At 34.3% G+C, this 18,872-nt stretch overlaps 1 long non-coding RNA gene across 1 annotated transcript in view; it reads right to left on the minus strand.

Moving 5' to 3' along the window:
• Positions 1–18,872, minus strand: part of LINC02281 (long intergenic non-protein coding RNA 2281) — a 30,070-nt gene that overhangs the window by 10,890 nt on the left and 308 nt on the right. Inside the window, exons 2-3 of the long non-coding RNA NR_187181.1 lie at positions 13,883–13,974; positions 8,627–8,704 (exon numbers count right to left, since the gene is read on the minus strand). This is a non-coding gene — a long non-coding RNA (long intergenic non-protein coding RNA 2281). The remainder of the gene's footprint in view (positions 1–8,626; positions 8,705–13,882; positions 13,975–18,872) is intronic.

Raw genomic sequence — 18,872 nt, forward strand, 5'->3', positions numbered from 1 at the left:
ACGAAAATCCTCAGAGGCCATTTTAAAAGGTTGGGACTTTTCTTGGAGGGGATGATGAACTATTGAAGTATTTTCAGCCAAAGTCAGAAGATCAAATTTACATGCTTGATGGAAATAATTCTGGCAACTGTGAGGATGTTTGCTAGGAGGTGATTCAAAGCAGAAAAACAAGCTAGATAGCTTTTGTAGTAGACCAGGCTAAACATTTTTGATGAGGGCCTAAACTAAGGTGCTGGCAATGGGGGTATTTAAAGTCACTTTAAAATAAATGTAGAGGTTGATTTGATAACATTTTTGACTTTATGCATTGTGAGTAGGGAAAGGAAGAGGTGTAGGATGACCTCTAGAGATAAAAAACAATTAAATAAAAGATGATGAACTTAGTTTTGTGAAGTTGATTTTGAGATGCTCTTATGATATTCAGGTGTCAAAGCCCAATGAGCCTTTGAACTCAAAAGAGAGATCTAGACTGAAGATAAATGTTTGATAGTGATTGGTAAATAGGTAGTATATGAAGCTATGAGTACGGATAAGATCATTCAATATAGCTTTGTAACACTCCACTTCATATTCTCTGAATTCATTTGTAGTCCCAATGGATAGTTTTTATTATCACTGGCAGGTTTCTACTTCAAACTCCTTAATCTCTGCTTCTCTGACCAAGAGCTTTTTCCAATGCCATAAGAGCTTGCTCAGACATCATACAGGGTAGCCGGAATTTAATGTCCTTAGGGGCAACCTTAGGAAATGAGGATGTGAGGCAGGGGATAAATGCTCAGGTTCTCTCTCAGTTGAACAATTCTGAGACATACTCTACATGATACATTAAAGAGTTTTTAATGGATTCGGCTTCAATTTCCCACAGTGGAAACCCATTCATCAACATATTCTTTTATGTTTTGCTTTTTCCACTTTTTTTAATTTGTGCTTTCTGGCATTACTAACAAAATAATTTGTTTGCCTTGAAGTAGCTGACTTAGAGTCTGCAATGGCGAAAACCAAATTAAGACATAAAAGAAGAATGAATAAACTAATAAGCAAGAAAACCTAAGATGGAACTATAGGAAGTACCAATTGCAGGATGAGCAAAGAAAGAAGGGCCTATGAAGAAGGCTAGGACAAAGCAGTTAGAGTAGAAGGAGAAAAGGCAGGAGAAACATGCATTGCAAGGCCAATAGAGAATTTCAAAAATAAGAGCTTAGTTAGCCTAACCATGATGAGATCAAGAAAAGTGAGGTCTAGAATGATTTAGCTGACCAAAATGAGAGAAATTTCACTGGAGTGGTAGTGAGAAGTGAGGGACATGTCTGGTTGTTGAAAATAAATTGAATTGACCAAAGTATTTTTAACTGTATTAGCCCTATAAGGCACAGGTCATAGGTCCTATAAGCTTTTTAGAAACCTTCCAAAATGTTTGAAACAGAGAATCTGGTAAAAATGTCTACCCATACGCCCCACCAAGTGACCTGTTCTCCTCCAGAGACAATACAAGTTACCAGTTTCATCTGTGAATTTTCACTCAAATTAAGGAGTTTGTACCTAATTCATTTGGAAAACTGGGAGCCATTGAAGGTTTCTGAGAAGGGAGGCAAGATGACACAGACTTCAGGATAAATTAGAGCGATGAAAGAACTGGAGTCACAGATATCAGCTTTAAGGATGAAGAATGCTAGCTGACTACATCAAGGATGAAGCATGAACCCAGAGAAGCATAGAGACTTGAACAATGCAACATGAAAAGTAAATAGCTTAATTGGCTAGAACCACTAAGGCCAACAAATGAAAACTGGTTGGTGGTAAATTATCATTCCTTATAGGAAGAATTTTGTAGAACCAAGATCTGAACAGAAAAATGGAAAAATTTTATGGTGGTAATATCTTCCCCAACATTAGAAGGAATGAGACAGACGATGGGGTACAACCTCTCAGTGATGTTATGTACTAGGAAGTGCTTAAATGAACTTACAATTTCTTTTTTCTTTTTTTTTTTTTTTTTTAGATGGAGTCTCACGCTGTCACCCAGGCTGGAGTGCAGTGGCGCGATCTCGACTCACTGCAAGCTCCGCCTCATTCACATCATTCTCTTGCCTCAGCCTCCCGAGTAGCTGGGACTACAGGCGCCCCATACCAGGCCCGGCTAATTTTTTTTTTGTATTTTTAGTACAGACGGGGTTTCACTGTGTTAGCCAGGAAGGTCTGGATCTCCTGACCTCGTGATCAGCGCGCATCAGCTTCCCAAAGTGCTGGGATTACACGTGTGAGCCACTGAGCCTGGCCCATTTTTTTTTCTTTGTTTACTTGATAATATTGCAAATGTAATTAATGCTCCTAATTCTTCTAGGGCAAATCTACTCATTTAAAGTGAGATGGAGTATTTCTGAAATAATTGGGGACATAGGATGATTTAGAATCCAGTTTAATACTTGAGACAGTGTATATTTCTGAATAAATTTTTCCAATAAAAACAATCTGACTTTACTAAATTTTGCTTAGTTCATTATTAATAGAATTTCTTATGCTATACATTAGATACAATTCTTATTCTTAGAATTGTGGGCATATCCTCAAACTACAAAAATCTTAGAAGAAAACCTAGGAAATACCCTTCTTGGCATCAGCCTTGGCAAAGGATTTATGGCTAAATCCTCAAAAGCAATGAAAACAAAAACTGATAAGTGGGACCTAATTAAACTAAAGAACTTCTGCACAGCCAGAGATGCTTTCAGAGCAGTAAACAGATAACCTACAGAATGAGAAAAAATATTCACAAACTATCCATCTGACAAAGGCCTAATATCTAGAATCTATATAGAACTTAAATCAACAAGCAAAAACCAAATAATCTCATTAAAAAGTGGACAATGGACCTGAACAGGCACTTTTCATAAGAAGACACACAAATGGCCAACAAACATATGAAAAAATGCTCAACATTACTCATCCTCAGAGAAATCCAAATCAAAACCACGACAAGATATCATCTCATACTAGTCATAATGGATGTTGTTAAAAAGTTAAAAAAGTAATAAGTGTTGGCAGAGCTGCAGAGGGCGCTTACACACTGTTGGTGGGAATGTAAACTAGTTCAGTCATTATGGAGAGCAGTTTGGAGATTTTTCAAATAACTACCAGTTGAACTACCATTCAACCTAGCAATCCTATTACTAGGTTTGTACCCAAAGGAAAATAAATTATTCTACTAAAAGGACATCTGCACCTATATGTTTATTGCGGCACTAGTCACAATAGCAAAGAAATAAGATAGATTCAAGTGCCTGTCAATGGTGGATTGGATAAAGAAAAGCAGATATACACACACCATGGAATACTACACAGGCATGAAAAGAACAAAATCATGTCCTTTACAAACATGATGCAGCTTGAGACCATTACCCTAAACGAACTAATGTAGAAGCAGAAAACCAAATACCACATGTTCTGACTTATAAGTAGGAGCTAAATGTTGAATACAGGTGGACATAGAGATGGAAACAATAAACACTGGGGAATACTAGAAGGGAGATGGAGGGAGGGGGCAAGGGTTGCAAAACTACCTATTGGGTACTATACTCACTTCCTGGGTGATGGATTCAATTGTACTCCAAACCATTATCTCATGCAATATACCTTTGGAACAAACCTGCATATGTACCCCCAGAATTTAAAATAAAAGTTAAAAGTTGGGGGGAGGGAAGAATGGTCAGATGAGACTTAACACATAGTGGTGGATCATCAACTAAAATGAAATCCTCTTCTGTAAAACTATTTTCTTTACAATTATAACAGTGTCATTTTGTGAAAAAACAAGCTTTCAATCACCAAAGTAAATGATCATGAAACAGAAGAGTAGATCTCAGCTAAGTGCAACCTCAGCCTCTTGGGTTCAAGCGATTCCCCTGCCTCAGCCTCCCAGGTAGCTGGGATTATAGGCATGCACCAGGACACCTGGCTAATTTTTGTATTTTTAGTAGCGATGGGGTTTCACTGTGTTAGCCAGGAGGGTCTCAATCTCCTGACCTAGTGATCCGCCCACCTCGGCCTCCCAAAGTGCTGGGATTACAGGCGTGAGCCACCGCGCTAGGCCGAGTAGAGCAAATATTATAAAGAGAAGATAATTTTTTAACTGACAACCCATTTGTTTATATTTGTCATATAATTACCTCACTTCCTGCAACACTTTGTGAAATAAAGAATTGAAGAAATTAATTGGATTAATTCAGTCAAGGTAGTTGCCAATTTTTATTTAAATTGTTTCCAAAGGTTTTCTACCGGGTGAGAGGGTGGGTGGGTGAAAAGACATTATTTGTCCTCCTACCCTGAGAGTATATCAGAACCTCAGCTATAATGTTGAGACGATAGCTTTGTATGGGTATGGGGAGATGGGGCATGCATATATTTTGTAAAAGATCCCCAGGGGATTCAGATTCTTCTGTCCTTATCATAATCCTGGTTAGGACCAATGTGGGCTTGACTTTTACTTTACAGTAGCCGTTTTTCTCAGCTTTTCAGTTGCCTTATATCAACCTAGTACCGCTACTCCCCCCACTTCTTCATTTTTGGAAGGGCAAGTGATTGTGATGAAATGAGACATTTTGTAGTAAAAAGGATACAGTTTTAAATACCTTTAAAACATTTCAAAAAGCAATACAATTAGCTAAGCACTTATGTTTTATTAGTAATAGCAAGCAAAATTAATAAGTAAATTCAACTAAAAATGATTATGTGTCAAAGTGTATAGTTTTTACATTGACATTTCACATAATCTGACTTTGCTTAGAAGAGAAATCACTCGGCTGTTAAAATTACTTTTAAAGAGCTGTCAAAATTGGAAAACCTGCTGTCAAAAATATGATGAGAAAAGTTTAAAAATGGTAAAGTATGTTGACTTAGACAAAAAACATTACCTTCATGAAGGAAAACTTGAATATTTATCATTGTCTTCAAAAGAGATGATCTTATCTTCCTGAAATTGGACATCTTGGTTTAAAAATTTACATTCTGGGGCCGGGCCCAGTGGCTCATGCCTGTAATCCCAGCACTTTGGGAGGCCGAGGCGGGCAGATCACCTGAGGTCAGGAGTTTGAGACCAGCCTGGCCAACATGGTGAAAACCTGTCTTTACTAAAAATACAAAAATTAGCCGAGTGTCCTGGTGCATGCCTGTAATCCCAGCTACCTGGGAGGCTGAGGCAGGGGAACTGCTGGAACCCAGGAGATGGAGGGTGCAGTGAGTCAAGATCACACCATTGCACTCCAGCCTGGGCAACAGTGAGAGACTCCATCTCAAAAAAAAAAAAAAAATTCACATTCTGACACTGTGTTTTCATTTTAACAGCAACATGAATGAAACCATTTATACTGGTACCAAATGAGAACATCTTTAAGTGCTAAAAAAAAACCTAAAATATTAATGCCATCTATAAAACAAAACAAAATAAATATTGGTAAAAACAAAGATAGATGGCATACACTTATTTTCAGCTTCTCTTATTTTATGTATAAATATATTAATACTTATTAAGTAAGATATGTTAACTAATGGAAGAATGTAAATCTATGTTTTCTGGAAAGTTTGCTAAGGATTTCATATTTTTATTCTGCCTATTTAAATTATAAGCCATATCAGATGCTCAATTATACGCCATTGAGAATTTGAATTCCAAAATAATTTAGTTTTGAGGCTTTACACTAAACTTCAGCTTCTGAAGTTTATTTTCAGCTTCTCATATATATATATATGCTTATTAAGTAAGATATTTTAACTAATGGAAGAATGTAAATCTATGTTTTCTGGAAAGTTTGCAATGAATTTTGTATTTTTATACAGCCTATTTAAATTATAATCCATATCAGATGCTCAATTATATGCCATTGAGAATTTAAATTCCAAAATATTTTAGTTTTGAGACTTCACACTAAACTTCACTTAAAGATTGATTCTTCTGTCCCTGTCATAATATAATTCCAAAAGAGACAAACCTTAGAGAGCATTGCATTTAAGGACAGATAGATTAGTTAAAAAAAAAAAGCCTCTCTTAAACTCTTTCCATTTTACAATGAGCAAAATATATCAATAATTTAAATCTCAAAAAGTTCCATTTCTCTTTGAAGTAGAGAACCAATAAAATTCTTCAGCATATCCTAAGCATTCAATTGTCAGTTCTCAATAAAAATGCATAGGTGTTTACCTCTAGATGAATAAAATGTGTGAATATGAAATAAAACATAAGATTTCTCCCCTAGTCTTCTTCATCTACTACAAATAATGTAGGACTTTAATGTTAATATCCTGGGTGACCACTATATTGCCAGTTTATCATTGTTGTGTGACCTTATGTGTTTGCATCCTTCTCCATATATAAAATACAATTGTAGTTATCACCCATCTAGCACAGTCACAAAAATCTTATGAATATTAGTATATAAATGATTGTAAAATTCTTTGTAAATGTAAATGTTTAAGTAGCCCTATTTTGTTTATAGAGAAGAAATTCAAAATAAAAATATAGCTATAATGGGATACATTATTTGAGCTAGAATTAGAGAAGAGAAAAATTTTCTTGCAAAAAATAATTGCCCATATTTAACAAAGAATGTTATTGTGTGGCATCTATTATTTTACTGTTTATGTGAAAAAATTTGGGGCTGGCTACTAAATTTCCTAATTTTCAAAGAAGTTTATATTTTAACATCACTATATTTAATCATCAAAGTTTTTAAAATTAAATTTCACATCCACATGACATGTGTATCCTAAAACATGCGAGCTAAAGAATAAAAATGCTTACAAACATTGCCACAAATAAGATCAGTGTGACTTTTAATGAAATTGATCTAAAATGCTAGCATATTTTTAGGGAATGTCAACTAAATAGAAAATTAAGTTTGAAGGTAGCAAATCTAAACACAGCTGAATGTGACTATATAAATCTTATTGTTCTCAGAACCATGTTAATATGCCCTTATTACACAAATGGAAAAGAAACTGTAAATTAAAGCTCTAACCAGTAATCCAATGTATAGTACGTGTACGTTGGAGAAAAGTTTGTGTTGCTATGGGAACTTTGGTTTTTGTTTATATTATATGGGAAGCTATATTATGTGCCTTGGTTCACCTTAATGACTACCTTCATACATTGCTAATTATACTATTTTCCCTCATTCACTCTGATGATTAACTCCTTAAGGTTAATATTGCTCATCTTTATTGAGTTAGTTCATATTTTTCTTGAATACAGAAATATGAACTCACATTTAACTTCATTTGTGAAAATTGCATTATGCATGCCACCATCACCTATTCATTACATTATGTAAAAGGAGTTTTAGTTTTTATGAGATTTGCAAAATTACATTTATGAAAATTATAAGCTTGACCTTGTATGCCTATAGACGCATTTCCAAATGGTGGAAAATAAAATTTGTGAACACATTTTTGTTTTGGGCAAAAAATGTATAATTTTCTTTTCCTTTTCCTTTTTTTTTTTTCAGATGAAGTTTCACTCTTGTTGCCCAGGCTGGAGTGCTATGGCGCGATCTCGGCTCACCGCAACCCCCACCTCCCAGGTTCAAGCGATTCTCCTGCCTTAGGCTCCCGAGTAGCTGGCATTACAGGCATGCACCACCACACCCGGCTAATTTTGTATTTTTAGTAGAGACGGGGTTTCTCCATGTTGGTCAGGCTGGTCTTGAACTCCCAAACTCAGGTGATCCGCCCACCTTGGCCTCCCAAAGTGCTGGGATTACAGGCATAAGCCACGGCGCCTGGCAAAAAAATGTATAATTTTCTTATTCAAAATCGCCTACAGCATTTTAAATGAGGAAACCTAAACTATTAAGAAAAAAATTGTTCACATTTTCAATGCATAGGCAAAGGCATGTCGAAATATTCATTATGTGTGTACAGAATTCCCTGAGTTAGTAGGGCTCTACAGAGCCAGTTAGTAAGTGAATGCATTATGCTATCAATATTAGGACTTTTTTCCTAAAGGATGATGAAACTATCATGTATGATACTCAAGTGATGGATACACAACAGCATGCATTTGTCAAGACCCATACAATTTATAGCACAAAAACTGACTTTAATATACGCAAATTTAAAAAATTATTTGAAAGGTTGGGAGTTCTCAGAATGAAATGCATACTGTGACAAAAGAATCTAACTGCATAACATGTACAAAACAATCTCACTAAAAAAATAAGGAGAAAAGGTTCTGGCTTAAGAAAGTTTGAAAATGAGTGGAGTCTGTAAGACTAACAGCAAATAAACTTCATGTAAGTATTGAACTTTAGTTGATATTTGTTTTCTGTGGTAGAATGGGTTAACGATTCTAAAACCACTACACGTATATATTAGAATTAAACATTTAAGTCAATGGATGTTTGAATGATGGAAGTCATTGTCTCACTGTTGAAGCTAGAGGATACAGATAAATGAGAGAAGACTAGAATGATCCATTGGGTGATATGAACTCATTTTTTAGCTTAATATAGATTCAGATGGATACACCTAGAAATATTTACAGATATATGTATATACAAAGTTCAATATACTCACGTATATTTCCTTATTCTATTAGCTGAGAGAGTCTAGAAACAAGGATACTCAGGAGCAACAAACATACCTCAGATTCAAATACCGGTTTCTAGAATTATCCAATTAGAGGAAGTAGGGCCTCTTAAAGAAACGCCTGATTCTAGGACTGAAGCAGAAAACATACAAGATGAACTGAGAGAACCTTGTAGTGTCAGAAAGTAAGAAAGTGCTCAAGACACACACACACACACACACACACGGTCTATCAGTCAGTGACGGGTTACTCAAGAGGAAACATAAGAGTTCCCAATGGGCAAAGCTGGAATGATTTCAGCAACAAAATTAATAAAATAGTATTGGATTATAGCCAAAAGTATAAGATAAATATCCAGGAGTCCATATTGATATAAATAAATAAGTAAACAAACAAAGAATAAACAAATATTCTGTGCTAATAATTTATGTAGATACTCTACCTTCAAGGAGATGGAACATAACTCTTCCTCAGTCCTTAAGTGTGAACTGTGCATAGCGACTTCCTTCCAAGGGGTACAGTACATAAATGGGGGTAAAAGAGTAACTTTATAGCCAAGAAACCTGACAAACAGCCAAGTGATCAAGATTAACATTAACAGGGACAACTCATGTTGATAATACCTACTCTTGATATGATGTAATGAAAAAGACAGTTCTATGTTCTTCCTCTCCAAAACACATGATTCCAGTACAATTGTAAGAAAAACATAAAGCAAATCCCCAAAGGGCGACATTGACAAAATACCTGACCAGTACTGCTCCAAACTGTCAGGGTCATTGAAAACAAGGAGTCTGAGTAATTGTTGCAGCCAAGAGGCACCTGAGAACATGTGACAAATTAATGCAGCATCTTCGATGGACTCTCAGTCCCAAAAAGATCATTTGATGAAAACTAAGGAAATTTGAATAAAATATGGACTTTAGGTAATAATAATATATCACCATTTATTTATTAATTGTGATAAATGTATCGTACTAATAAGATGCTTATAGTAGGAGAAACAGTATGAAGTATATGGGGGTTCTCTGTATTACCTTTACAACTCTTTAGTAAATTTAAAATTGTTCTAAAATAAAAGTTTATTTAAACAAACTCTTATTAAGCACTCTACTTGCTACAATTCCTGCATTCTACAATGCCAGACTGAGTTTTCCAATTTTTATTTTCAGCAAACCTCTATTACTACAGGTCTAGCTCAGTCAGAATCAACTCTCACCAGCTTAAGGATAATGTGAGAGCAACTTAAGCTGACAGAATCAATTGCTTCAGGTTGTCTTTGCAAAAATCCCTGGTGTTATGTATCTGTCCTGTCTCTCCTATTTGTCTACCCCAGCTGCTATATAATTTCTTATTGCTTATTTACTTGTCATAGAATATTTGCCAAGATCTACATCTACAGCTCAAATAGTGACTATTTGCAGACTTCAAATGCATCATATGGTTTATTTAAGTAGGAGTGTATGTGTGTGTGTTTGTGTGTGTATGCACAGAGGCACACACGTGAACATTTGCCAATGCTTTATTTTTATTTTTGTTTTTAATTTTTATAGATTCAGGAAGGGCTTATGCAGATTTCTTATAAGGATATATTATATAATGGTGAGGTTTGGGTTTCTGGTATACTCATCTCCCAAATAATGAACATTGTATCCAACAGGTAATTTTTCAACCCTCCCCTTCTTTCCGCCCTCCCTCCTTTTGGAGTCAGCAGTGTCTATTATTTCCCTCTGTATGTCCGTGTGTACCCATTGTTTAGTTCCCACTTATAAGTAAGAACGTGAGGTATTTGATTATCTGTTTCCAAGATATTTCCAATGCTTTATTTATTTAAAGTAGGTCTCTCTCCAACCTTGCTCCATGACAAACTCCCACCACAAATATGAAATATTTTTTTCTAATTTTTATCATCTCAACTTTGCCAAATAGATTTGTATCACTCTATGTTTTCATATAAAACTTTATGCCATAGTTTATTAAATTCTTGATATGAAAGAGAAGAAATTTAGTGCAAGTAATTTATGCCCCAAATATTGTTTCACTTCACATTATATTTTTTAGTTTTATTATGTTATTATTATTATCACAGTATTATTTACAACGTTGACTGGTATTTGTCACATATTTGTAAATGACATGATACCAATATATTTTCAATTTTTAAATTTTGAAATAACTTCAAATTTACAGCAATGTTGCAAGAATATTACAGAAAACTCCTAGATATTCTTTTCCAAGCTTTACTGATTTAAGAAATTTTAATAATTGCATCAAAAACAATACATCGGTTAGGACTTAATTTAATCAATGAGGTGAAAGATCTGAACACTGAAAACTATAAGATATTGAAGAAGACACAAATAAAATGGAAAGCTATCCTATGTTTATGGCCTGGAAGAACTACTATTGTTAAACGTCCTTACTACCCAAAGTGATCTACAGATTCAATGCAATCCTTATCAAAATTTTAATGCCACTTTTCATAGATATAGAGAAAACAATTCTAAAATTCAAATAAAACCACAAAAGGCCCCAAATAGCCAAAGCAATCTTGAGAAAGAATAAAAAAGCTGGAGATGTTATACTTCCTGAATTCAAACTATATTACAAAACTATACTAATCAAAACAGTATGGCACTTCCCTCAAACAGATACACAGACCAGTGAAATTGAATTGAGAGCTCAGAAATCAACTCATACATGTATGATCAACTAATTCTTGCCACTGTTTAAAGAATACACAATGGAGAAAGAATAGTCTCTTCAAGAAATTGTTTTGGGAAAACTGGATATCCACAAAAATGAAACTGGACTCTTTTCTTACACTATCCACAAAAAGGAGCTCAAAATGGATTACAGATTTGCATATAAGACCTGAAACTATAAACTTCTAGAAGAAAACATAGGGACAAAGTTTCTTGACATTGGTCTTGGCAATGATTTTTTTGGATAGAATAACAAAAGCACACGCGAGAAAGGCAAAAATAGACAGGTGAGATTACACCAAATTAAAAAGCTTTCGAACAGCAAATGAAACAACCAATGGGATGAAAAGGACACCTACAGAATGGAAGATAATACTTGCAAACCATATATATAATAAAGAGTTAACATTAAAAAAATACAAGGAGCTTATACAATTCAATAGCACAAAAACCACTCATTTACAAAATGGGTGAAGAGCATGAATATACATATTCTCAAAGAAAACATACAAATGACCAACAGGTATATGAAAAGTTTCTCAACATCAATGAGCATTAAGGAAATGCATATCACCTCACACTTGTTAGGATGGCTATTATAAACAAGACAAGAGATAAAAAGTGTTGGTGATGGTGTAGAGATGGTATGTTTCCCTTGTACACTTTGGTGAAAGTGTATATTGGCACAGTCATTGTGGAAAACACTATGGTGATACCTCTAAAATTTAAAATAGAACTATCATATGGTCCAGCAATCTCACTACTGAGTGTATGTCCAGAGAAAATGAAATCAGTATCTCAAAAAGCTACCTGCACTCCCATGTTCGTTGCAGCATTATTTACAATTGCCAACATATGAAAGCTACCTAAATGTCTATTGATGGATAAATGGAAAAATAAATTATGGTACATATTGTATATACAATTGAACATTATTCATCCATAAAAAAGGAAATCTTGCCTTTTGTGACATCATAGATGAACCTGGAGGACATTATGCTGTGTGAAATAAACCAGTCATAGAAAGACAAATTGTATTATCTCATTTATATATTAAATTAAAAAAACTCAAACTCACAGAAGCAGGAAGTAGAATGGTGGTTGCCAGAATTTGTTTGGGTCAGAGGTGGAAAAAGCGATGATGTTGGTCAAAGGGTACAAACTCTCAGTAATAAAAGGGATCTAATGTATTGTGCAATGACTACAATTCATAATATTGCATTGTTTACATAAAATTTGCTGAGAGTATATCTTGAGTGTTCATACACAAGGTAACTGTGAGATGATGAATGTATTAATTAGCTTGATTGTGGTAATCATTTCATAATATATAAATATATCAAATTATCACATTATACATCTTAATTATATGCAGTCTTGTCAATTATACCTCAATAAAACTGGAAAAAAGAAAAATAAATTTTAACATTTTAGTATATTTATTAAATTAGTAAATGTAATCTTAGAACATGTATTAGTATTTGTACAATTAGTAACACCACTTTATCTGTAGAGATATATGTGTATGTATAATTTGTACTTATATGTGATTTATTTTTCTTTTTTCTTTCTATAAGTTTTATTTGAAACATTGTTGATTCTTTACTTAAATGTTTTGTTTTCCAATTTAAGAAAATACTCACTTTTAAGCTATGTATAGTTTACAGCAATTTGATAAAGTATACTTTTGTGAAAAAAGGTGGAAGCATTTTCTTTTTGTCCTGATTCCTTCAAAATTTGAAAATAATTTATGAGTATTCTTGTGGCAAGGTGGTTTATCTGTGTAAGTCCAATAAATAGTTGTGATTTAATTTTCTAACTCCTTTGAGAGTCAGTTGCATGTATTAACACTTTTTCTCACTTAAAACTTCAGTAGTTAGAGTTGATAGCCAAAAAAAAGATATTCTCTTATGTAATCAAGGTGTAGCTATCAAATTTAGAAAATTTAACTTTGATAGAAAATTCTTATGACTTTTAACAAAATATTCCCAATAATGTATTTTGTAGCATTTTAAAATACAAGTACAGTATCTAATCCAGAATTACATATCACATTTAATTATCATTTCTTTATTTTAAGCTGGAAACTTTCTCAAACATACACAAATCTTTCATAACATGGATTTATTTCTTTTTTTCTTTTCTTTTTTTGTCTTTTTTTTTTTTTTTTTTTTTTGAGACGGAGTCTCACTTTGTCATCAGGCTGGAGTGCAGTGGTGCGATCTCAGCTCACTGCAACCTCCGACTCCCTGGTTCAAACGATCCTCCTGCCATAGCCTCCCGAGTAGCTGTGAGTACAGGCACAGGCCACCACGCCCAGCTAATATTTGTATTTTTAGTAGAGACAGGGTTTCACCATTTTGGCCAGGATGGTCTCAATCACCAGACCTCGTGATCTGCCCTCTTCGGCCTCCCAAAGTGCTGGGATTACAGGCATGAGCCACCGCGCCCTGCAACATTGACTTATTTGAAGAGTACAGGTCAGTTATTTTATAGCGTGTTCCTCAATTTAGATATGTTTTATGATTAGACTCAGGTTAAGCACACTTGGCTTGACTAACACAAAAGTGATATTGTTTTTACAGCATCATGTCCATAAGCTCACCTTATTGATGTTAATTTTGATCCCTTGGTCCAGATGTTGTCCAGTCCTCTACTTTCTGGTTACTGTTTCCCCTCATGCAGCTAATAGGCATTCTGTAGAGAAACATTTAAAAACCATGTAAATAACCTGCTTTTCATTAAAATTTTGCTCCTACATTCAGCATCCATTGATGATTCTTGTCTGACCCAATGTTAACTATGATACTTGAAAAATAATGATTTTTTAACTCTATCAATCACTCTCTTCATATTCGTCAGTCAAAGCTTACTATAATGAAGATCTTTTTCTTCTTCTTTCCTTCCTTCTGTCTTTCTTCAGTATAGACTTATGGATTCATATTTTAATCTTTGGGTTACATTCTATTACCACCTTATTTGTTTTGATGCTCAAATTTTCCTGGATTTATTCAATGGAAGACCCTACAGGCTGGATTCTAGGGGTTCTTGACATCACTTTTTAAGCACTATCCCCCTGACTCAACAAGATCATCCAGACTCATGTTGAACTTCCCCTGACCTTCCCCTGGTATCTTTAGTGGAAAATAGCATTTAGAAAACAAGATCTGAGCAGAAATTATGTTCATTGTTGGTGTGTTATTACTTCTTGACCTCTCCAACAAACAGAGCTATGATATTTATATGCATGTGTGTATGTATATATCTAAGTAAAGTAAAAGTTCATATTAATACTTTCACTTGCAAACCAAACCTACAAGATTTTTCTATATTTCTATCTCCCTGCCTCCACAGTGGAAACCCTCACTTGCAATAACATCAGCTCATTTGTTCAATCATCTGTACTACAACAAACCTACTAATAAGAGTTCAAGATTTCTTAACAGTTCTGTTTTTTTTTAACCTGGATTGAGAGTGTATAATCAAAATACTTGTGATCAAAAGTTACTTGTATTAGTTCTTTTATTTTTTCTTTTCAGTGTATTTAGTATTTTTTATTTGGAATTACAGTTGGGTTCATTTGTTTTTGTTTGCATTAGTTTTAGATCTTTTCCCCATTCTTGTTAAATATTGATTTAGTTTAAGTTTTTGAACATGAAGAATACTTCCAAAATGAAAATTATTCAAAAAGACATAGTCAGAACAGTGTTACTTCCTTTCATATCCCTTCCATCTGCTTCTTTACACAACTAAACACAACAGATTTTAATGTTTTCTTTATATTATACTTACGCTGTTCAAACTTTATCTTATACTTACTCTATATGGTTTCTTTGACATGACTGAACCCTGACTGATACACTTTTATCACAGAGTATCTTCAAATAATATTATACCATTTCCATCCCACCCTTTTTTTGTGCCATTTTTGTCTCACATTTTATTTCTACATAAAATTTCAATCAATTTTGTTTCTATATTTGCCTTACATACTCAACTTTAAAGAAATTAAAGAAATCTTTAAAAAGAAAAGTATATTCATCAAAATATTTACCCTTTCAAGTACTCACCATTCTTTTATATAGGTACAAGTTTCCATTTGGTATATATATATATATATATATATATATATATATATATATATATATATGATATAGATATAGATATGTGTGTGTATATATATATATTTAGCTCCCTGAAATCTTTTATTAACTTAAAAAATATATAGATTAACTCTTTGCCTGAAGAAATGTCCATTTTCCCTTTAGTTTTGAAGGATTTTTTTTCTGGGGATATAGAATTATAGCTTGAAATGATTGTTTTTTCTTTCAGCACTTTAAAATGTTTCGCTGTCTTCTGATTTCAATAGTTTCTGACTGGAAGTGTGCATTCATGTTTGTCTTTGTTCTTTTGTATGCAATATGTCTATTTTCCTCTGGGTGCTTTTAAGATTTTCTTTTTATTACTGGTTTTAACAACTCCCTCCTGTTGTACTTTGGTATGTTTTTCTTTGTGTTTATCTTACTGGAGTTTATTAATTTTGTTCCTGAAGATTTCTTATTTTTATTAAATTTGTAAATATTTTGGCTATTATTACTTCCAATATTTTTTCTGACCCTCAGTGTCTCACCTGTTCCATGAATTCCAATTATACTAATGTTACAGCAGTTAATATCGTTTTCCAAGTTACTGGGACTTCATTACTTATTCTTTTTTAGACTTTTTTCTTTCTGATCTGTATTTAGGATAGTTTCTACCACTGTCTTCAAGTTCATTGATATTTTTCCTATCATGCCTAATCTACTGTTAATTTCATCCAGTGAATTTATTCTTTAATACATTTATTTCTCTAGAAGTTTGACACTTTTTGTCCTACATTCTATGTGTTCCTTCATTATGTTCATGTTACTCTTTACATGCTTGAGCCGTGTTTTGGTAGGTTTTTAAATGTTGGTGTCTGCTAATTTCCTCATTTCTGTCATTTGTGATCTATTTGTAGTGACTGGTTTTTCTCCTAGATGTGGATTTAATTTTCCTGCTTTTCCATGTATATAACAGTATTTGATTGAGTGCTGGACATTATGAATTTCATGCTGTTGAGTGTCATATTTTTTGTCTTCCTTCAAAATATGTTGCTCTTTGTTCTGGCAGGCAGTTAAGTTTCTTGCAGTCCAGTTTTGTCCATTCTAGCCCTTCTTTAAGGCTTTAGTAGGGTGAATTTAGAACAATCTTTACTGTATGCCTACTATAGCCCTCTTGGTATTTTTACAGAAAGTTCTGAGTATTCAGTGAATAATGTATACTCTGGCTTCTGAGAACTTGAACTTTTCCCAGAGCTGCGTAAGAGCTGGAAATTGTTTGACACACAGCTTCCTTTTTGCTTTTTGCCTTGGCCTATATACGCATGACTTAGTGTTCAGCAACTGACTCTGAGATGATTGTAAAGATTTCCTGATTTACTTATTTATATGTTCTCTCCTTTCCTGTTGTCTTCCATTCAGAATTTCAGGCTCAAAAACTCTAAGCACTCTGATCTCTGTCTACACAACTCAGTGTAACCACCTAGCTCTGCTTGGAATCTACCTCCTGACAATGTGGTTCAGAAAGTTCTTCGGTGGAGAAATCCAGTTTGATTACAAGACTCACCTAAATTTTTTTTCTTCTCTTACTGACTATAATCATATAATATGTGTTGTAGGATGTCTGCAAACTCTTTATTTGCATTATTTTTTCTATTTTTCTAGTTGGTTATAGTGCACAATTAAGTCTTGCTCCATTCACCCTATCATGACAGAAGCATAAACCCCATGTACTGTACTGAATTCTGTCATAATCAGTGACAGCTTTTTTTCTTCTAATTCTTTTCCAAATCCTGCCAGTTTGCAATTTATTTTCTTTTATTGTTTTGCTGTCTATTCTTTGAGTTCTGTCTTTCTGCTTTGTGTCTTCCTTCATAGTGGAGTTTGCTTTATAAAATATTTTAAAATGCTTGCTAAAATATTTGCTATGATTTTACTTGCTGTTTCATGCTTTCCTGTTAAGTATTCTTCTCTTTTGTTGCCTGTACTTTACTTTCTTCCTCCTTTAATGTCTTCCTATTTTTCAGTATCTATTGTTGAATTATTTTGTATTTCTTAATATGTGCAAGAGATTTTTGTGCTGGAGAACAATAGGAATTGATATGTAATTTTTCTGGCTTTCACAACAAAAAGTCTCCTTTCTACTCAAATACCACAGAAAAACGCCTTTAGAACATGTGCAGTGTCTGTGTCATTATTTGTATATTATTGCTTCCTCTATTCTTGGAACCAGACTGGGTCCAGTAATGCTATTGCTGCCAGTCTATCTTACTCCAGTTCATGCACCCATAGCAGAAATAAGATGATAGATTTTTGCATTTCTGGGCTTATCCCTCCTCTTCAGGAAGTATATCTTTTGCCAGAAAATTTTGAGATTTGATATTATAAGGCTCCCTCTTTGCTTATATTCCTCTCTACGGTTTTTAATTTTTGTTTTATCCCATATAGCTTTTGTGATCTCTTTCATCAATTTGGAAGCTATGATTATAAATGTCTTCCAATTTGCCAAAAATTGGAGTTCCGCATGATTATTAAAAATTTTTTCTATTTTCAATTATTTTTGAGAAAAGAAATGCAGAATCCTGATTTCTGCAGCTATATTCATACCAGAAGTATCATTCTTTTGTTGATTCTTTAATGCCTTTAGAGTGTCATGCTTTAATGCCTTTATACAGTTACAAGTTAGAGAATTTTTACCTCCATGGAACTTATAACTTGAATGTACTGTAGGTACTGGATGATCAGTGCTGTGAGATTAAAACTATAGATTCAAATATCTCAGATAGAGATTTGTAATCATTTGCATAATCAGGATGAGTACATTGTCAAAAATGAGGGAGAATGTTAAGGATACTGGTTAAAGAGGAAGCAGAAGTGTCAGAGTTGAGTGACTGCTTAGAAACTGAGAAGCATGCAGAAACCAGTTATTCAGATGGAGCAATTAATCCAGGGCAGGTAAGAGGCAGAGACACTGTGCTAAAGATGAGAGAATCTTGGCCCAGCGCGGTGGCTCACGCCTGTTATCCCAGCACTTTGGGAGGCCGAGGTGGGCATATAACCTGAGGTCAGGAGTTGGAGACCAGACATGACCAACATGCAGAAACCCCGTCTCCACTAAAAATACAAAATTAGCCGGGCGTGGTGGCGCATGCCTGTAATCCCAGTTACTTGGGAGGCTGTGGCAGGAGAACCGCTTGAAGCCGGGAGGTGGAGGTTGCAGTGAGCCGAAATCGCGCCACTGCACTCCAACCTGGGCAACAAGAGCGAAACTCGGGAAAAAAAAAAAAAAAAGACAGGAGAATCTTAAAACCAAGAGAAAGCCTGCTCTCTCTCTCTCTATACATATATATATATATATATATATATATATATATATATATATACATATTTTTCTTCTTTGAAACGGAGTCTCGCTGTGTCGCTAGGCTGGAGTGCAGTGGCATGATCTCATCTCACTGCAACCTCCAACTGCTGCCCGGTTCAAGCGATTCTCCTGCTTCAGCCTCCCGAGTAGCT

Source organism: Homo sapiens, chromosome 14, assembly GCF_000001405.40.
Source record: "Homo sapiens chromosome 14, GRCh38.p14 Primary Assembly".
Classification (NCBI taxonomy): domain Eukaryota; kingdom Metazoa; phylum Chordata; class Mammalia; order Primates; family Hominidae; genus Homo; species Homo sapiens.